At 33.6% G+C, this 20,599-nt stretch overlaps 1 protein-coding gene across 16 annotated transcripts in view; it reads left to right on the forward strand.

The window, feature by feature from the left end:
• PTBP2 (polypyrimidine tract binding protein 2) overlaps positions 1–19,811 on the forward strand; it is a 101,956-nt gene extending 82,145 nt beyond the window's left edge. For 5 of the 16 annotated variants that reach the window (XM_011541876.3, NM_001300987.2, NM_001300985.2 and 2 more), the window contains 6 exons: positions 857–1,011; positions 2,491–2,524; positions 2,938–3,030; positions 8,784–9,000; positions 9,101–9,178; positions 9,345–19,811. In XM_011541876.3, the coding sequence (XP_011540178.1) occupies positions 857–1,011; positions 2,491–2,524; positions 2,938–3,030; positions 8,784–9,000; positions 9,101–9,178; positions 9,345–9,477 (710 nt within the window). In that variant the 3' untranslated portion in view covers positions 9,478–19,811. Of the gene's footprint in view, positions 1–856; positions 1,012–2,490; positions 2,525–2,937; positions 3,031–8,783; positions 9,001–9,100; positions 9,179–9,344 lie in introns of those variants that run through there. The other 11 variants (NM_001300986.2, NM_001300989.2, NM_001300990.2 and 8 more) reach the window with 7 other exon arrangements.
• Positions 19,812–20,599: the final 788 nt, after the last annotated feature.

Here is a 20,599-nt window from a genome sequence, read left to right on the forward strand (position 1 = left end):
AAGAATTTAAGGGATGAAAATATTCCAAGTTGATTGGTAATTGAAAAGTAGATGAACGGTGCTAACACAAAAGGGAATTCTGTCTAGAATAAATGAAAATATGGTGACTTAAAGATAGTAGGACAGCAATAAGACTGGAAATTAGAACAATAAAATAAGAAGGAAATGATAACATAGATTGGGAAAGGATAGGAAAATACTGAAACAAAATCTGTGTTGTATAGTGATGGTTTCTTGTTCTTTCAACCGGGAGAGTGTTGTGTTGAAGGAACTTGTATTCATTTTAATTACTTGAGTGTATAATTAAGAAGGCAAGCACATTTTGCTAAGATTTTCTTTATTTGCATGAATTAAATAATGATGTTCAGAGTGATTTGTCTCTAGGAGCTGAAAGACTACTACCTTTGTTTCATAAGCTGTAATTATTTGATTTCAAGTGTGAGTTTATGAAGAAGATAGCACTTGCGGAAAAAAGTGAATTACCATTATGTCGAAAGTGATACTTTTTTACATTTGGCCTTTTACTGTAAATCGTGGAAGTGAATTTTCCAAGCCTGTGACTTGGAATTATATTTTTCATGCTTTGTTTGCTTTTCCAGAGGAAATAGAGTATTATATATTTGATATTTTAACATAATACAGGTATGTACTTTAGTTCAAATAATTAATGGTTTTGTTGAAATCAATTATTTTTCTTTACTACACATCAGCAAACAATTTTTCTAAACACTATAAAAATTAACTTTCAGGAACCATTTGGAATGGTCAGCCGTAAGCCATGCAGCCATCGTGCTTAAATTGGTTTTTGTAAACGACTTGTGTGTGTTTCGTAAAATATGCTTTATTTTAAAATTAGGGCTTCCTGTTGCAGCTGTTCCAGGAGCTCTGAGTCCTTTGGCCATTCCAAATGCTGCTGCAGCAGCTGCTGCAGCTGCTGCTGGCCGAGTGGGTATGCCTGGAGTCTCAGCTGGTGGCAATACAGTCCTGTTGGTTAGCAATTTAAATGAAGAGGTTAGTAAAATAATCTCTAATGTTTATTCTTTAACTCCATTTCATTTGTGAAAGTTTTTCATGTTTATTTCATTTTGCACTTGCCTTTCTTTTTATGTACATTCATTAGTCAAAGTATTTTCTGTATGTTTCTACTTCTGAATAAAATCTACATATTGTTTAGGTAATACTTTATTTCCTTAAACAGTCATGTCTCTTTATATCTATATCTATATATGTATATTTTTTAACCTAACCTATTTTTCCTAAGAAAAATATGGTGAAGTACTGTAGTTTGGCTTATCTTTTTGTTGTTCTCAAAGGCAAATGTGATCTAATTTGCAAATTTAACTGTAAAACAATTTTGCTCTTTGCCTTTTCTAATTATTTGCTTGTTCATTTCATGCTTATATGTCATTGCATTTTTTTTAAATCTTATTTTATGTGAACTACTCTAATACATTTTTCTTTGAAGGTTCTTCCAAAGATCTTGACGAGGCACTCTTCCCGTCTTTCTTAGTAATTTTTTCTTTGCAGTTATTAGTCATTGTCTTCTAAAAATATTTTTTAACTTTATTCCCCCACCCCTTCCTTCCTTACCACCCCCTCCACCCAGTTAAATAAAATTTATTGCTAAGTTATTTTCTTTAGTTGTACATTTTATGTCTGGTATATTTTATTTTGAATGCTATGAAAGCTGGTATGAAATGTGGGAAGCTCAGTGTATCAGTTTATGATGTCTAATTTGAATATTTGTTTCATTTTTAATTGGCCTCTGTTAATATGAACATTAGCTTATTTTATCCATTTAATACTATTATCATTCACAGTTCTGCATGCTAAAATGTTTGAATCAGAGTGCCTTTGTTTTTATTTTAAGACTTTTGCCTGCATTTCATAACCAGCCATGCTTATGCAGTTAAAGTTCAAAGTTTAAAATTCCTATGCATGCTTTCCTTCCCTATGTTGAGATGAAATGCTGTAATTTACTCTTTGATATAGATGTACTTTACCCATATTTGTCTTGGATGACTACATTTTACTCAGTTTTTCTTGTACAGTACATAAACCAACCATTTTCTGACCAAATTCCTGCATTTCCTATGTACTGACCTATATTTTATTTTGTTTTTGTTCCCCAATTCCTTATTTTTTTCTTCTGCATTGCTGTTTCCCTTCCCCATTTCATCCTTTTCCCTGTGTGTTCACCTTCCCTTTCCTTGTCTTTTCCCAAATGCCCATTCCCTTCCCTGTCTTATCCTTTATTTTCCTTGTCCTTGTCTTCATTCCCTGTCTCCATTCCCTATGTTCATGCTTCTGTGCTTGAACAAATGTTCCTCGGACCAACTTGCCCCAATTAACCGCCTTGAACCATGATCCATGACCACCTCACCATTCTGCGGGAACCACCCTTCGTTATGGATGATCTGTTCATCTCCGCTCTTCCTCGACTCTTCTCTCTTCTTGTCTTACGCTGCTTGCTCTTCTCTCCTTCTAAAGATGGTTACGCCCCAAAGTCTGTTTACCCTCTTCGGTATGTTATTGTTAGCACTATACTTTTATTATTGATTTGATTTTTGTTTCACCTTAATTCTTATTTGTAGCTAGCACTTTGGCTTAAAGTTGAATAGTAAATCTTTTGCTATTTTTCTTTGCTATTTAAAACTCTCCATAGACACAAAATTTGTTTTAATGCATGCTAATTTATTTTGCATGGTCTTTAATTTAATATCATTCACATAGCTTTGAGGGTTTATCAAAAATTATTCTTTTCAAAATTCACTGTTCAAAATCTTGATCTTCTTTATTCATTTGTGAGAATGATGAGATTGAGTGATCATGTTGATGTCTGAATGTTTCATTGATATGTCAGAAAGATAATCTTTAGGTGACTTCCACATAAAATTAATTCCATTTTTGGATTACCTCTCTGTGGCTCCAAAAAAGGTGTTTATGGAGATGTGCAGCGTGTGAAGATTTTATACAATAAGAAAGACAGCGCTCTAATACAGATGGCTGATGGAAACCAATCACAACTTGGTAAGATTAAACTATGTTTTATCTATACATCTTCACTTCTGCTTTCAAATGCATAATGTGAATGTGCGAATAAAAATAAACTCCTTTACATCAGTAAGAAATTATTTTAATGGCCAGGGCTCAAAATGTCATTTTAATGTGAATAGTTGTATGTGACGAACATATTTGTATTTTTCTGCTATCCTCCTACTGTTTTTCAAATGCACTCATAATAGGAAGAGATTTTAGCTTCAAAATTGTAATAATAGTTTCACATGAGAATTATATCATTTATATTGAAGATTCATAGTGATTTTTATTCTAGGTACTCCTTGTTAATAGAGGCTAACTGTTCATACAGTCCATAGAATCCTTCTTAATGCCATGTTATTTTAATTCTTCTAAAGTCTTGCGATACCAGGTTCTTAGAAAATGAAAAGCTTGTGCTAAAAACACTGTTGTTAATCCCTTTGGGAATCTTAAAAGGCACTTTAGTCAGGTTACACTTTATATCATTACTTAAATAAGTAATTGATTATTTTAATTAAACTTATGTCGTTTGACTTCATACATCCTCGAATACATAAATCTAGAACACACCTGCACATTCACACCAGTGATTGACTGTAAATGCCAGGATGTTCTTACATTTCTGTTCATTGAGATTCAGGGATAATGGTGCCTCAGACTGATTGTATTCACATTGTTAATTTGTAAATTTGCCATTTTTGATGTAAGGACGAGTGTATTTTTGCTCAGAGATGAACAACTTGCTATATTAGACCAATTTTGGCCTTTGACATCACATAGAAAATTTTGAATTTCAAACACATAATAGGTTTGAATTTTAGTGTTTCTTGGCAATAGTCTTAGCAACTCAGATGAGGTATAAAACTATCCATCTGGCTGTCCATTTTTAAAATGGTGGTATGTGTTTTAAAGAGATACGAAAGTGCTGATTATGTCAAGATACTTAGTACATATTTTCCTCTTTCTCTGTGTGCACTTCTGTACTCTGGTTGGAATAGTCATTGCTGTTGTTTTCATATATGTTGTAAGTAGCACTTAACAGTACTTCATAATAGGAGTATTCTCAAATATGTCATTTTTTTCCCTAATTGTTTGAGGTATGGGTGGCATTGTGTCATTTAAATAAGGGATGCATAGTCTTTATGGTTGGTAATTACCTGTGGTAGAATTACCTCAGATCTTCCAGATAGTTTTTGTTTTATGTAAAGACTGTTTTATGTAATATTTTAATTTTTTGCCATGCTCGTAGTCTGCTTGGGCTGCTGTAACCAAAATACCATAGACTGAGTAGATGAAACAACAAAAATGTATTTCTTCAAAGTTTTGAGAAATAAAACTTTGGGGTCTAGAAGTCCCAGATGAAACTGCTAGCAGATTGTTTCTGGTGAGGTCTCTCTTGGCTTGCAGCCAACCATCTTCCCCCTGTGTCCTCATGTGGCCTTTCCACTGTGCAAGCACGTTAAGAGTCTCTTCCCCTTGTAAGGATCCTAGTCCTGTTGAATCAGGGCTTTACCCTTAATGACCACATTTAACCTTAATTACCTCCTTAAAGGTCCTGTTTTTAAGTACAGTTACATTGGGGGTTAGGACTTCAACATATAAATTTGGGGAGGACACAATTCAGTTAATAGTACTTAAATTTGTAAATCATTTATCCCAAATTTTATAAGATATTGTCACTAAAGTTTTGACTTGCTAGTAGGGCTTATAATTTTTGGACTATCTGTAGTGGTAAATAATTCATCATTTCTCATTGCTGCTAGGTAGATTTTGCTTTCTTGAACTGTGTGACCATAAAAGTATGTACTGACACCATCATTTCCTTTAAAACACACACACACAAACACACACACACACACGCATACACTCCCACACAAAACTCTATGGTGTACTATTTAGTATGGTGTACTAAAAAGATTATCAAACTTGGTATTTAAAAAGTTAGCTATATACTTTTTACAAGAGACATGTAAAGCAGAAGAATATGAAAGATTGAAAGGAAAAGGATGTAAAGAGATACTAATATACTGGACAGATAGTAAGCAAGACAAAACTTAAATACCTTTATTAACTTAAGACAGAATTGATAAAGGATTTAGTTCACTAGAAAGATATAACAGTTTATGTATATGTGTGCCTAGTGAAATAGCCTCAAAATATATAAATAATAAGTAGATAGAACTACAGGTAGACTTGAGCAAATCTATTATAGTGGTGGATTTCAATTCACTTTTCTGAATTACATGTCAAACTGACCAAAAAAAGACAAAATCAACAAAGATACAAATGATACAATACAATTACCTTAACAGAATTATGTGTCTAAGTTATGCATCCAACACAGTTTTTAAACGCATATGGAACATTTTTGAAAAATCAGTCACATACTAAACCATAAAGCAAGCTTCAGCTAATTTCAAAGAGTATCATACAGACCTCATTCTCTATTGCACAAGTAAGTTAGAATTAATAACAAAAAGATGCATATAAAATCTGTATCCTGAGATTTAAAAATAAGTCTCAGTATTGCATGAGTCAGAAGTTTGTTTGTTTGTTTGTTTTTGAGCCAGTGTCTTGCTCTGTCCCCCAGGGTGGAGTGCAGTGGTGCTATTGTGGCTCACTGCAGCCTCGACCTCCCAGGCTTAAGCAGTCCTTGCACTTAAGCCTCCAAAGTAGCTAGGACTAAAAGCATGCACCACCTGCCCGGCTAATTTATTATTATTATTATTTTTTGTAGAGATGAGTTCTCACTGTGTTGCCCAGACAGAAGTTATTTTAATGGGAATATAAAATACTTAAAATTAAGCGATAAAGTACTATATACAAATTAGATATATGTGGTACAGTGAAAGAGAAGTCTTGACGGGAAGTTTTAACTTTAAGAATAACAGTGTTACCCCCAGGGAAGGAGATATTAAAGACAAGACTGGAAATCAATGGTATAAAAGACAGTTGAGAGAAAAAAACATGCCACAAGTTGGATTCTTTGAAAAGACTAAAAAAATAGACAAACATCTAAAGATTGATTAAAAAATGAGAGTGGTAACACAAAAAAATTTTTTTGAATTATAAAGGGGAGAAGCATTGATAAAGCTCCAGTTTCCACATCATATAAACACCACTATGTCTGTAAATTTCTTGAGGTCTTTTAAAATTTTTATTATTCGTTAATAATCTCTTTCATAGATGGATTAAGGGAAATGTAAAAAATTACATTAAATCAAAAATGTCATTTCAATTGTGAAACATTGACTTTTTCCTTTATTATTGCCTTGTCCATTTATGCCATATTTCTTGGAATAGGAGAGTTCAAGTGTAAGATTCACATTGTTTAAAATTTTATTCATTTAAAATTAGTAATTCAGGTAATTTCCTTCTGCTCTGTTTACTCCTTGTGTACTTTCAGTTTTTGACAAAGCTTTTGTTTTCTTTTTTACTTAAAAATTTTGGTATTCTAATTATCATCCCCCTTCCCCTTTAGATCACTTCAGATCCTATTGTCAGCAATCAGCTGGCTAGAACTCTCTTGTTACCTGGCTACTTCCTGAGGTAGCTGTTTGGTTATTTAGCTTTATTTTAATCCCATTCCTCTATCACTCATCTGTTCTGTATGCAGTTACTATGCCTGGGACTTATTTTCTTATTCTTTCCCTCCATTATCTCAAAGCTCTGCTGTTTGTGCTGTCTTTTTATTTAGACAGCTTTTTTTCTGACAACGTTAAGTCTACTTATTTATATCACTTTATTTCTCAAACTCACACTTAATAACACATTTTATCTGAGGTAGTTTATCTAAACAAAAGTTTGTTCACTTAAAATAGTTATAGAACTTTAAAATTTTATAATTCAGTGGGTTTTATTGTAAAAGGATTTTATGTACTGTCACTGTAGATAATTGGTTTTACAGGTGTAAGCGTAAATTTGCAAGTATATGAAATTAAGTATGTGAAATGCAGTGTGAGAAACAAATGAGAAAATTCAGACTTGTGAGAAGATTGTTTTGTTTTTTTTCTGTGCTTAGCCTTGGCGAAAAATCTGAGAAAACTTAAAATATATAACACTGGAGTGACAATCAGGAAGAGTGGACTCTTTTTTTTTTTAATTTTTTTAAACAAATTAGGGAAGTAAGTTCAATGGCTAGTGGTTATCATAATAAGAAAAATTTAAGGAAGTTATAGGTAAAATAAGAATTTTACTTTTGTTTCTTTTCTGAATGGTACCTCATATTTTGACAGCATTATCCTTTTCAGATCTGTTTTATATTTAATTGGTTTATTATACATGTAAGTATGATTAGATTCATGGATTTAACCAGTTCTTTGTATCTTCTGTGTCAAAATGTATACTGTAGTATACTGTTTATATTAGAAACTCTTTAAAAGTGGATGTTCTATTCTTAATTTCCTGATCTTCCACATTGTCTTTATCTGTAACTCTACTGTTTTTTGTTGGTTTTTGTTTTTGTTTTGAGACAGAGTCTCGCTCTGTCACCCAGGCTGGAGTGCACTGTGGCACCATCTCAGCTCACTGTAACCTCCGCCTCCTGGGTACAAGCAATTCTGCCTCAGCCTCCTGAGTAACTGGGACCACAGGCACGAGCCACCACGCCCAGCTAATTTTTGTATTTTTAGTAGAGATGGGGTGTTACCATATTGGCCAGGCTGGTCTCGAACTCCTAGACCTTGTGATCCGCCCACCTCAGCCTCCCAAAGTGTTGGGATTACAGGCGTGAGCCAACGCGCCCGGCATCTACTGTTAATACTTTATTATCTAGTTGATTATAGTCATTTAGACCTTCAGTTTAGCCAAAGTGCATGACATATTAGAAATGGTCTTTTTTAGTTATTTTGACTGGTGAATAAAACATATAACTTTCTAGCATCAGACCAGTTCATTTAGTTTAAAAATGATCCAGCAGCTATGTCAAGAAATAGTCATGTAATGTTCTGTTTTCACACACTGCACTATGTTCTGGGGTAGAGACAAAGGTTTGGATTTTGGAATATTTGCATTATACCAATTGAGCTTCCCAAATCTGAAATGTTCCAATGAGCATTTCCCTTGAGCATCATGTTGGCCCTCAGTTTTGGATTTTGGAACATTTCAGATTTCAGATTTCTGCATTAAGGATACTCAACCTGTACAGACTGGGAAAGGTATAAGCCATGTTAAAGAATGAGTTTCAACTTTGTCCTTAAGGGTTTTAAGCAGGTATTGACGTGATCAGATTTGTAATTTATGAAGGTCATCAAGCTGCTGTATAGAAAATGGATTGGAAAAATTATCCAACAGGAAGACAAATATGAGACTGAGTTATCCAGATAAAAAATAATGTCAGCGAGAAGTAGAGAAACAGATCATGAATTTGAGGGACAATTAGGAGGAAGGCTATCACAATATTTAGCAATTAGGATGTGTAACAGAAGGGAGAAAAAGAGCTAGGGATGCTTATTAAGTTTCTTTCTTGTGTAGCTCACTATACGATTTGTTAGCAGGATTGTTGAGGAAGATAGATATTCATAATCTGGATTTTCATTCTATGAAAGTAGCTGGCTTTTTTGCCAGAATGCCTTGTCTAGTTCAAATGAAAATGTACTTAAGTCTTATCACCAGTGGCTATGGTAAATTGGTGATTTATTTTAAAATCATAAGAAAATTCAAATTTTTAAACTGTTACGTTAAAAGAATTATGTTTGTTTTGAGCTTTGATATTGTTTGTTAATAGACATGCTTTCTTTTTATAGCCATGAATCATCTTAATGGACAGAAAATGTATGGAAAAATTATTCGTGTTACTCTGTCTAAACATCAGACTGTACAGCTACCTCGAGAGGGACTTGATGATCAAGGGCTAACAAAAGATTTTGGTAATTCCCCATTGCATCGTTTTAAGAAACCTGGATCCAAAAATTTTCAAAACATTTTTCCTCCTTCTGCCACCCTTCACCTATCTAATATCCCGTAAGTATATAAGCTAGAGTGTATTGAGATACATTCTATTTTGATAAAATATGAAATTTATTCTTAATCTTCACTTTTTCTTCCCATTCAATTTTCCTAGTCCATCAGTAGCAGAAGAGGATCTACGAACACTGTTCGCTAACACTGGGGGCACTGTGAAAGCATTTAAGTTTTTTCAGTAAGCAAGCTTCCTTATCTTTAAATTAGTGACCTGATAAAATTTTTAAGTAGTTTTTGTTCTTTTCGTTTATAGAAATTTTTGATTCCGGAATGGCCAAAATTCAAGTATTTAATAAGCCCTTTCTAATTTGTATGAAGTGTCTAATTTTATAATTTTGTTTCAGAAGAGATCACAAAATGGCTCTTCTTCAGATGGCAACAGTGGAAGAAGCTATTCAGGCCTTGATTGATCTTCATAATTATAACCTTGGAGAAAACCATCATCTGAGAGTGTCTTTCTCCAAGTCAACAATTTAAAAATGGGAAGATGAAGATTGGGGGTGAATCACATTGTTCAATGTCATCACCTATTTGACTGTTCAGAAAAGTGGGGACCAGAGTTTGATTTTTTTTGTTTTTGTTTTTTTGGGGTTTCTTTTTTTTTTCCATGCTGTTATCATTCCTTGGTTATAAAATGAAATGGCATATGTAAAGGCAGAGTTGTTAACTGCTATATTTCATCTGTTCTATAGGGAAGCCATTTTGTCTGTTTAAAATTTCAGTTTAATTTTGCTTTTTTTTTTTTTTTTTTTTTCCTTTCAACTTAGTTGACATACGTGCCTTAAAAAGGAAAACTAGTGTTGCTATTGTGCATTTACTAGAAAAAAGGAATTGGTTGTTTAGGGCACACTGTTATATGGGAATTAAAATATGTTTAGGCAGGGGTGTGTAAAAAGGTTAAGTTTTTGTTTCTCCTGCTTGGAACTTATTTTGAATTACTGGCTTGTCACCTTTTTTTCTATTTAATCAAATAAGATACATGATATTGAAAGAATAAAGCAGCATTTTTAGTTTTTACTACCTTAGGCTTTATTGCTTTGAAAACAACATTGGCCTTTTGTATCTCACAATTCTGGTCTAGATTCAGTTATGAATGTAGGCATTAGTTAAAATTAACAAGATGCAGAGTATTAATTTCTTAAGACAACAAAGTGATTTCTGTAAGTTTGAGCCCTATGTGGAAAGCATTGTGGAATCTTAACCTTTTCGTACACACTCTTGTGGGACGTATCATATAAATGTCAGCACTAAGTAATGTCTTGTTTGTGGCTGAATATTTTTCGTAGATGTTTTTGAAGTTGACATGACTTACGTGCATTTAAATATATATTGCCATCCTTAGTTTGTAATTAAGATTTGGAATATGGTTGTGGATTTCTGAGCATGTGCAGACTGGTCTAGCTAGTTCAGGAACTGGTGCATGTATTTTTCAAAGATAAAGAAAGTGTACTGCGAAAATATGCAGGAAGATTAATTTTGTGGCAGTTTTCTAAAACTGACAACCAGGTGGGACCAAAGTTTATGTGCCTTTAGTCTTAATTTACCTTGCATTGTAATATTCAGTTTTAATAAATCTTCAAAATATTTTGTATTTAGGAATAGATCTGACTTTAATAAAAACATGGCTCAGAATCTACAGGTCAAATTAATTTGAACAGTTCTTGTCAATCCGAATTGTTGATTCTGTTTAAATGACCAATACTTTTTGAAATTGATGTACTTAGTTTCAAGATTCATAGATTCTGTTATCTATGTAGACAGAATGGTCATGTATATTTTCTATTAGTTGAGTTTTTACATCTTTAGAAATGTAAAATTCAGTATAGTTTGAAAGCGGCACAATTAAAAATTAATTTTCTAACAAAGTTGGGAGGTTTGATGGTTGTTTAATTTCATTTTGTGTGTACTCTGCTTACCCCTGTAGCATGCTCAATAAACACTTCTGTAGCTCTATATTCACCTTTTCTGTCTTTCTCTGCTGCCTTTTCTCTCTCCTCTTCTTTGTTTTCACTCCACTGTGCTTCTGAATTCATGTTTATTCTCTGCCAGGGTGGGAAAGGAGTAATAATATTACAATTCTATGGCTTTATACCATAAATAAATCTAGATGCTGTGAAAATATACCAGCTGGTTTTTTTTAATTTAAAAGATGGTAACTGCTTTTCAGGAGGACACATATTAAACATTTCCCACCCTGTTATAATCTACTGCTTTAAAGACATAACTTTTATTGTAGCTTGTTAATTCTATCTCTTTTGTTCTTGTTGTTTTTTTTTTTTTTCCAGTAGATTTATGCACTAATAGATCTTTTGGATTTGCCATGCTCTCTTGCTGCAGTTTCATCTTTCATCTTTTGTGTCTGCTAAAGATTTCTTACTAATCTTAGACTACCTTGTGAGTTAACAAAAAGAACTTGATATTACTGGGAAGAAAGAGCAGCATATCTGCATATCAGCATATCTGCTTTTGCCTTGGGTGGGAAGAATGATATACATTCAAGTATTTAAAAACTTAGAGTAATTTGCATTTAACAACTGAGGATGTTACTACTGTAACTTGTTAAGCAGTTACAATTAGGGTGCTATTTATATTCAAAATATTTCGGTCAGTTTTTCTAAACAGATATATTGGTATCAAATAACTTTGGAGTTACACATGTTTCTTAGGTTTGTTCTGTTATAAAATATCCCACACTTATGCAAAACTTACACATAGGATAATAAAAAGTAAATGAAGGAACATAAAATATGTTTTACTATACTTAATGTAGTAATTCAGTTACCTCCAAGAAAGAAGAATATAATAAGTAAAATAATTTTGTTTACACTAGTGTCACTGTTGTCATCTGAAGAAGAACCATTAGAGTCAACAGTCTGGGATGATTTGGAAGCTAGGTGATCTGTGTTTTTTTCTTAAAATAACATCGTAGCACAGAGGAACTCTACCAGCATCAGATAAGTCTAAAGTCTAAAAAACCAATACCAGGGTTAGTGAATAGTAATTGAACAAAGCTTCTCAAGGTGAAGTTTTTCTCAGTAATTAGTGGTGGCTATAATATTTGAAAGTAGGTTCTGTCACCTTTTCAGGTGCTCATTGTGGGTGGGATTGCCTTGGGAAGGAGAAACTAAGTCCTGAGCTGTGTGTGTGGACTTAGTTTGTGCCAGTTGCTAAGCTGGTGGGAGTTCCCAGTCTCCCTAGTGGGAGATAACCAGAAACCAGCTCTTCCTGCCTAAGGACTACAGCAGATTCTATACTGTCTTACAGTATGCCCTAATACGGCCTTCCTTCCAAAGCACCAAGTCACTAAAGGGGGATTTTGACATTCTAGAATATTTTTAATTCAGTACATCAAATTAACCCAGGCCTTGGCATATAGTGAATTGCTTATTAAAAGTTAGGTAAAAATAAAAACAGCTTTGTCGTATATTAGTACTCTATGACTCTTAGAGTGAACAAGCTAACAAGTATTCTTAGGACTTAGCTGCTTTGTTAATAGAGGTCTTAACTTGAATATTTAGAAATAATCAGAAAAATTATTTTTTGGTATTGAAGATGTATTTTGGAAATGGGTTTTAAAGTACCTACTTAAGGAAGAGATATCTACAGTTTATATTTAACGTTAGCATTTGAAAGCAATGAAGAAAATTTTTCCTTAACCAGGAAGTGTAATGAATCATTATATTAGAGATTAAATTAACACTTTGGAAGCATTTTAGCTCCTAGAGTTAAGGTTAGTATAGTGAAATTATGGTGATTAGCTTAATTCATTCATGTACATCTATTTGTATCACCATATAATTACTAGGGAAAGGACAAATCACTTTTCAAAGCCTCAATGTTATTTGTAAAATGGAGGCAATAAGTTCTGCTCTGCTCCCCTCACAGGATTATTACAGAGGCTCAAATAGGATAAGTGAAGGAATGCTATGCAATTAGTTAACTAATGCCAGTTCCCAGACTGCCAGATTTGCCCACAGTAAACTTCATTATCCACAATACATGTTATCCTAATATGTCTTTTTGCTACAAAGAAATACTAATGTTTTAAAATTATTTACTAGTTTCATAAAGCAGAAAGATGTAAAATGCAGTTATAGAGAGCATCCCAAGCCAGATGAAAAGAAACCATGGATTTAGCTTTATATTTTCTGTTTGAACTTGATAGCCCAATCATAAAATGCACATATTTAATTATAGACTGCACTTAAGATTTCATATGTATAAAAAAGTTGCTGTGAAACAGGTAATTTTAACACTCAGGAATTTCAAGGCTAAGGAAGAAAGACATACTCTCATGAGCAGCTCTGAACTTCAAACAGGATTTTCTGGCTGCCTTAATATATTAAAATGGAGCCTAAATCTGAAAACGTTTTTTTCATTCAGAAGAAAGTACAGAATTCAGTGAAATTGAGTATACTAGGAAATCTGATGGCAAGAATTCAGCAGAAAGTCTTAATTTTAAACCGTAATATTCATTGATTATGCAAAACCTTAGTTTTATAGTTATTCTTTGTTATTTTGAATAGCTTCCCTTTAAATTTTCTAGTTTCAGATTTTGCAAATAAAAGTGTACATGTTAAAGTTATAGAGTATTAGATTATTCACATTAAGAACTGTTCAAATACGCGGAAAAATAAAACCGTAATGAACACCTATGCACTTCACTCAACTATATCACTACCTAACATATTCCATATTTTAAACGTAATTATATATTAGTTGAAAGAAAACGTTACAGAATGAACTGAAATCCCATATGAACCTCTTTCTGATCTTAGTTCAAACCTTATTCTTTCCCAAGAGGTAATTGTTACCTTCAGTTTAGTATTTTATTATTCAGTGGTTGCTTTTCAAGAGGAATTTGTCCTATATTCTGTAGGCTAAATTTCTTGTTTTGCCTAGTTATAAAAATGGCAAATAATATGATATTGGGTGTTTAAATAGTACAATATTGTTCAAAACACACTTTATAATTTTTAACAGACTGTTTGGACATTGATAATTCCCCTATCAAATCTCATGACATTTAACCAATTTTTAACAAGGATTTTAAATTGTGTTTAAGAAATAAGTCATTTGGGCCTCAGGTTTCTCTTAAGGATGTAAACAAGGAGCTATATCATTGGTATTTTAGACGCTGAATTATGTGTAAGGTCCTTAAATACAAACATACCCTTTGTAGCTTCACAGAGCCACCCGTTTTGCACTTCTCTCGCTTTTCTTCCTCCCTCTTTGGCTCCCATTTCAATGGACAGAAAGACTATGTGGCATCTCTATTTTCATTCACTTGGTTTATTGTCTTGGTATGTTGTATAGGTTTTTGAATCAGAAAATTTTAACATTTTTAGATATTTCAAACATACAAAAAATAGAAGAATATTTAACAAACCCTTGTCAGCTTCAGTTAGCAACTTAGATCTTCCTCGTTTCCTCCACCCAATTCTCATCTCCTTTATTAATGCAGATCCCAGATATATTTTATCAAGAAATTTTGTAGCATATATTTGTGTTGTTTTATTCGTGGTCATAGTTGCTTTCTCTAATATCTAGACTAGCCTAGCTGGTCAATACTACTTTTCTTCAAATCCTAGAACCTCCCTATTAAAAATATAGTCACCAGACCAGTGGCAAATTAGTATCACCTAGGAGTTTATTAGAAACTCAGTCTATGAGCCTACTGAATCTACATTTTGACAAGATTGGCAGGTGATGCATTTGGACATAAGTTGGAGAAGCACTCAATGCATTTTTTCAGTTCTATAAAAATCAGCTTCAAAGTTTTTTCCTGAGTGTGGAAATTATTTCATTAGTAATTTTAAGTTATGCAGATATAGTTAATACCAAGAAATAATTGAACTGAAAAGGAACCCGGATATCTAGTTTTAACCAGCTGTTTTAAAGATAAACAGTTCTAGAGATCAAATGAATAGTTTAGCAACATATTTATTGTAACTTACCTGTAGTTAGAATCCAAGTCCCTGGCTTTCCAATCCAGTCTTCAATGTATAATACTGATCAAAAGAAATACAGGCCTGCTATTATTCATAAATTTAAACTATTATGTACAAGTTGATAGCTTATAATAGAAATCAGTATGATTAGTGTTAAAAGTCAAATTTAGTCTGACAGGGAAGGAATGTCCATGTGAACTGATTTTTTTTAATAGAATGCAAATTAATACTCAATTCCTGATTTGTTTATTACATTTTGTGGTTTAATGAAATGATACTCAGGTCATTTTCATAAATAGCTTTTCTATTAATGCTTCCTCAGTCACATTCTCTATTCCTATTGCATAGCACAGTCTAACAGTTGAAATGCCTAAGCCTTACTGAATGATGACTGATATTCTCTGTGAGAGTTAGAGCTGTACTATAAATATACATTACCTGTGCAAAGTATGCCTTCAGGGGCTATTCCCCATAACCTTAGCAAAATTTTAAAATATTCTTATGGCTAGCAATCTTATCTATTGTCATGTCTTACTATTTCCTGCTTACCACCCCCATTTCTCTCTCAACCTTGTTGCTGCATTAGCTGTCCATCACTTAACACTGTTTATTTCTCTGTTTTTCTTCCATCATTCTCTTCTTTGCAACTAAATGATTTAGACTTTTTATAACCATAATCAACCAGTTAGATTCTTTTTATTTGTGGTTATTGAGTTGATAAATGATAGTGCATTTTATGTAATATTCAGGTGTTATGCTATTTTTATCTGGTTCACTTTAAAACCTCCCTCCCCCCACTCCCTTTTTTTGTGGGTTTTTTTTTTATTATTATTATTTTCCAGTTTTGTGTTGTTTTGCTTTTTAACTTCTGAGATTGCAGTGGTTCCAGATGGTTGAAATCACTAGTAGTGATTTACATGAAGCATTCATGTATTTATTACTGGTATATTCAACTATGGTGGAGGGAAATTGGTCGAAGAATTACGGTTAAAGAGCTCCTTTAAAAAGGAGATTTGTAGAATTCTAAAATGTGATTCTGATTCATATAGTCATGATTCTTAGAAATTAGCTACAGGAAGAGATAGAAACATTGCTATAGTTGTCTTTGCCCTAAGTTTGGAGTTTTATAGTGTAATATATATATAATAGCTCTAATTATAAATACACTTTTACTCTGGAAAAAGCATAGACATTGACATAAGAGACATTTAAAAACCATTATTTTCTCATCTGTAAAATGGAGAGAATTACTTCATATGTTCACTTATAAGGATTATGTGAAATACTGTTCCATTCCATTAGTAGTTTTTCTTTTCCTCTAATTGGGGGTGGGGGCAGTTTTTGGCATTCTATTTATGGAAGGTGTTTTTTTCCCTAAGATCATTTTGATGTCTCAGAAGACATTTGCTATGTACGTTGGACATTTGCCATGTACATTGTAGAGAATACAAAGATAAACAGAACCACAGTACAGCTGGTTCTATTAGACATTGAAAATGCATATTCTAGCATATTTAATATATTAGGGAACAATTTAAGCATAATGTGAATTTCATGTTTACTGAAGATTTCATCCTGAGAAACAAATGAAAGCAGAAAATTACAACCAACTGAACCAGCTGTGTAAGAAATATATATATGGTGTGCACACATGTACATACCTCAGACATCTATTAGCATTCTCAGTTTTCCACAAGTTAAAAGCCACGCTCATCCATATCTGGTGCTAATAACTTCCTATCCAATTTCAGATAGCTGTTTTCAACACATCTGACACCTTCTTTTTTTCAAGCAAACTTCAGGTCTTTTTCAAGATAAAGTCATTTATAGTAGTGTCTATATATTTCTTAACCATTTAACATGTAAACTGTGCTGCCTTTTAAGAAATTAATTCTATCCTTTTTAGTGTCAGAGTTGAAGATTTTGAGTGTTGTGCCCTAACCTTATCATTTTCCTCATAAGTCCTGTGGTTTTTATTGTATGATTTTGCATAGTGTGGCAATTCTTGGAAATGCTTATGTTGTGTTATAGTATAACTGACTTACTACTTTCAAATAGCTTCTAGTCTGATTCATGTTATGACAGTATACAGTATAGCAAAATAAGGACATCAGGGAACAGGAGGCTGAGCATATCACCATTTACCAATGGTAGCTTGAGCAAGGCACTTCATTTATCGAAGTCCATTTTCTCATCTGTACAATGGAGGTGATGATAGTACATGTCTTTTCTGTCTTGTGTTATTTGTAGTTTCAAGTAAGATATGAAATATGCTGTAGAAATACAGGGTTGGGAATATCTAGTGGTACAAAAATCAACTTTTGGCCCAATTTTAAGGTGAGATAATTATGAGACATTTTTCGACCTCAAAGTCTTTGTTCTTTTCTCTCTACACCATTGTGAATAACACAGTGTATATATGAGATTAATTTATTACCTCGACTTTCCATTTTTGTTTTGTAAAGTAGTTTAATTTTTTATATCTATTTATAAAGTTAACTGCAGGAGTGTACCTGCAGTTAACTTTATACAGTTAAGAAGAGGTTGGTTTCAGTTTTAAAGATTGTATGTCAGTGTAAAACATCCATTATTATGCTTTCAAGTAAAATAGCTCCTAAAAATATGGATTACTATCAACTTTCAAGGAAAATAGCTCCTAAAAATATGGATTACTACCAACTTTCAAGGAAAATAGCTCCTAGAAATATGGATTACTAGCCACATAAATTGCTAACATTTGCTTTTATTATTATTATTATTATTATTTTAGACACAGTCTTGCTCTGTCACCCAGGCTGGAGTGCGGTGGTATTATCTCGGCTCACTGCAACCTCCACCTCTCGGGTTCAAGCAATTCTCCTGCCTCAGCCTTCCGAGTAGCTGGAATTACAGGCACCCACCACCACACCCAGCTAATTTTTGTATTTTTAGTAGAGACAGGGTTTTACCATGTGACCAGGCTGGTTTCGAACTCCTGACCTCAAATGATCCACCTGCCTCAGCCTCCCAAACTGCTGGGATTACAGGTGTGAGCCACCGCTCCCAGCCTATTTGCTAATATTTAACCTCTTGAGAGTCTTTAATTCTTTTTTTCAACAAGTGTTCATTACCTGCTATGTGCCAGCTTAGATGCTTTGGATGAAATACAGGTTGGTGCGAAAGTAATTGCGATTTTTGCCGTTAAAATTAGAAAAACCACAATTACTTTTGCACCAACCTAAATAACTAAAACACAATTTCTTCCTATCATGGGGCTTTCAGTTCAGTATGAGATAAGTAAAGAATTATATGGGTTGATAAATTTTCTGGAGGAACTATTGGGTGTTATTACAGTGTGCTCAATCTTTAGCAGTTAGGAAAGGATTCTTGAAGGTAGTTGTATTACCTGGGTTGGAGGTAAGTGTTGGGGACACAAGTGTTAGAAACAGAACAGTTTGTTTAAAAGTTGGGGACAAAAAAGGACCAGAATCAAGATTACGGCACCCTGGAGAAAGTTAAGCATGGCTCGGTCATAAATTAGGAGACAAGGAACAAATAGAGAAATACGTTTGGATAGAATAGTCAGATTATAGGCTGTGCTAAGTTGTTTGGGCTCCACTAGGGTTTCTAAATGCAGTTATTGGTAAACTGGACTTAGGAGAAGGGACAGGGTTGACATGACAAATCTAGTGAATTTATGTTCATTAAAATATCCCTTTTGAATTGATTTAGTTTTTGTATGTTTCTTTTTTATAATTCCAAAAAATCATACAAATAAGTTAAACTTATCCATCTAAAAGCTGCACACAAAACTTGATGTTAGATTCTTTTAAAATTACAAAATTAAGACTTCCAAAAGAATCTTGTTGAATAAGAGTAAAAGAAAGACCCTTACTCAGTAAAGCTGCGTAATACTTTGGCAGTTTGAACCCATGGCCATGCCTCTCTGTGTGATAAGGATTTGGCAAAACCATGGAAGAAACATGCATGTTTTTGAATTGTCTTTCCATGGTAACTTAAAACATTTTTTCATGAAACATGGATATATATCCTTAGAAAACTGCAAAACATAAAGCTTGTAAGTTATAAGACAAGATTTATCTCTTTTTTTTTTTTTTCTGAGAGAGAGTCTTGCTCTGTTGCCCAGGCCGGAGTGCAACAGTGTGATCTCTGCTCACTGCACCCTCCGCCTCCCGGGTTCAAGCAATTCTCCTGCCTCAGCCTCCTGAGTAGCTGGGACTACAGGCGTGTGCCGCCAAGCCCAGCTAATTTTTTTGTATCTTTAGTAGAGACGGTTTCACCATGTTGGCCAGGCTGGTCTCGAACTCCTGACCTCAAGTGATCTACCTGCCTCAGCCTTCTAAAGTGTTGGGATTACAGGCATGAGCCATGGCACCCGGCCAAGATGAAATGTCAAGGCCATTTTAGCCACTATGCTTTTAAGACTACTTAAAGCTGTGCTTTCAGGTCTCCCCAGGAATACTTGTTCACTCTATACTATTGCTGCTGCTGTTCTGGCTTGAGAATTTTGAGAATCACTAAGATACAATTTTAAGTTTTGACATGTAAATTATTTGGTTGAGTAGAAAGAATTAATGTAGATAAGCAAAAACCCCTTTATAAAAAATGCTTACCCTTTAAAAAATGTTGAATCCTCACAGTATGATTAAATACTACTTGTAAAAGTGTCTGTTAACCATAATGTATTTTTTAGATAATTTGAGTAGAATTATACGTGCAATATATTCTTGAGTTTGTGACCAACAAAGAAACAGATTAATGATTGAAAATTCACCATACATTACTACCTATGTCTCTCCACCTGCTATCTACTTCCAATTTTTTATATATATAAAAGTCATTAAAGTCATTTGTAATTGAGTTTGTTTTTTTTTCTTGAGACAGGGTCTCACTCTGTCACCCAGGCTGGAGTGCAAATGGCATGATCACAGCTCACTGCAGCCTCAACCTCCCAGGTTCGATAGATCCTCCCACCTCAGTCCCCCACAGGCATGCATCACCATGCCTGACTAGTTTTTGTGTTTTTTTGTAGAGACAAGGTTTTGCCATGTTGCCCAGACTGGTCTCAAACTTGGGCCAAAGCCATCCACCTGCCTCGGCTTCCCAATGTGCTGGGATTACATGTGTGAGCCACCACACCCAGTCATGAGAATTATTTTAAATCAGGTAAACAAAATGTCTGTGGGAATATTGAGCTTTATGATAGATACCTAAGTTTTCCCAAAAATAATTGTGTTAGCATTTCAGTGAATCACTATACTTAACCTAGAAATCTAGGTTACCAATAACAGTCTCTTTCAGGTTTTTTTCTTTTCCTGTGTCTTTCTTTTTACTAAAATCATTCATAACTGGGATGACTTATGGAGTTGATACCTTAGGTCAAATCCCAATTTAGAAACTCCCAAAAGCCTGTCAAATTTTGACACATACTTTAAATGAACTGTTATTGAGTAGATATAATTTAGTTGTAATAGTTTAATAGTGTTTGACCTATCCAAACAGATAAAAGAACTCATTTTATTCAATCTGTATTTAATATATTTACTGCATAAATCTCAGACCCTCTTCGTCTAGCACATGGCCCTAATAAATGAAAAATAAGTGGCAAAATCAGTCCAAATTTTGTTTTCACTTATCTATTTTCACTA

This window comes from Homo sapiens, chromosome 1 (genome assembly GCF_000001405.40).
Source record: "Homo sapiens chromosome 1, GRCh38.p14 Primary Assembly".
Lineage (NCBI taxonomy): Eukaryota > Metazoa > Chordata > Mammalia > Primates > Hominidae > Homo > Homo sapiens.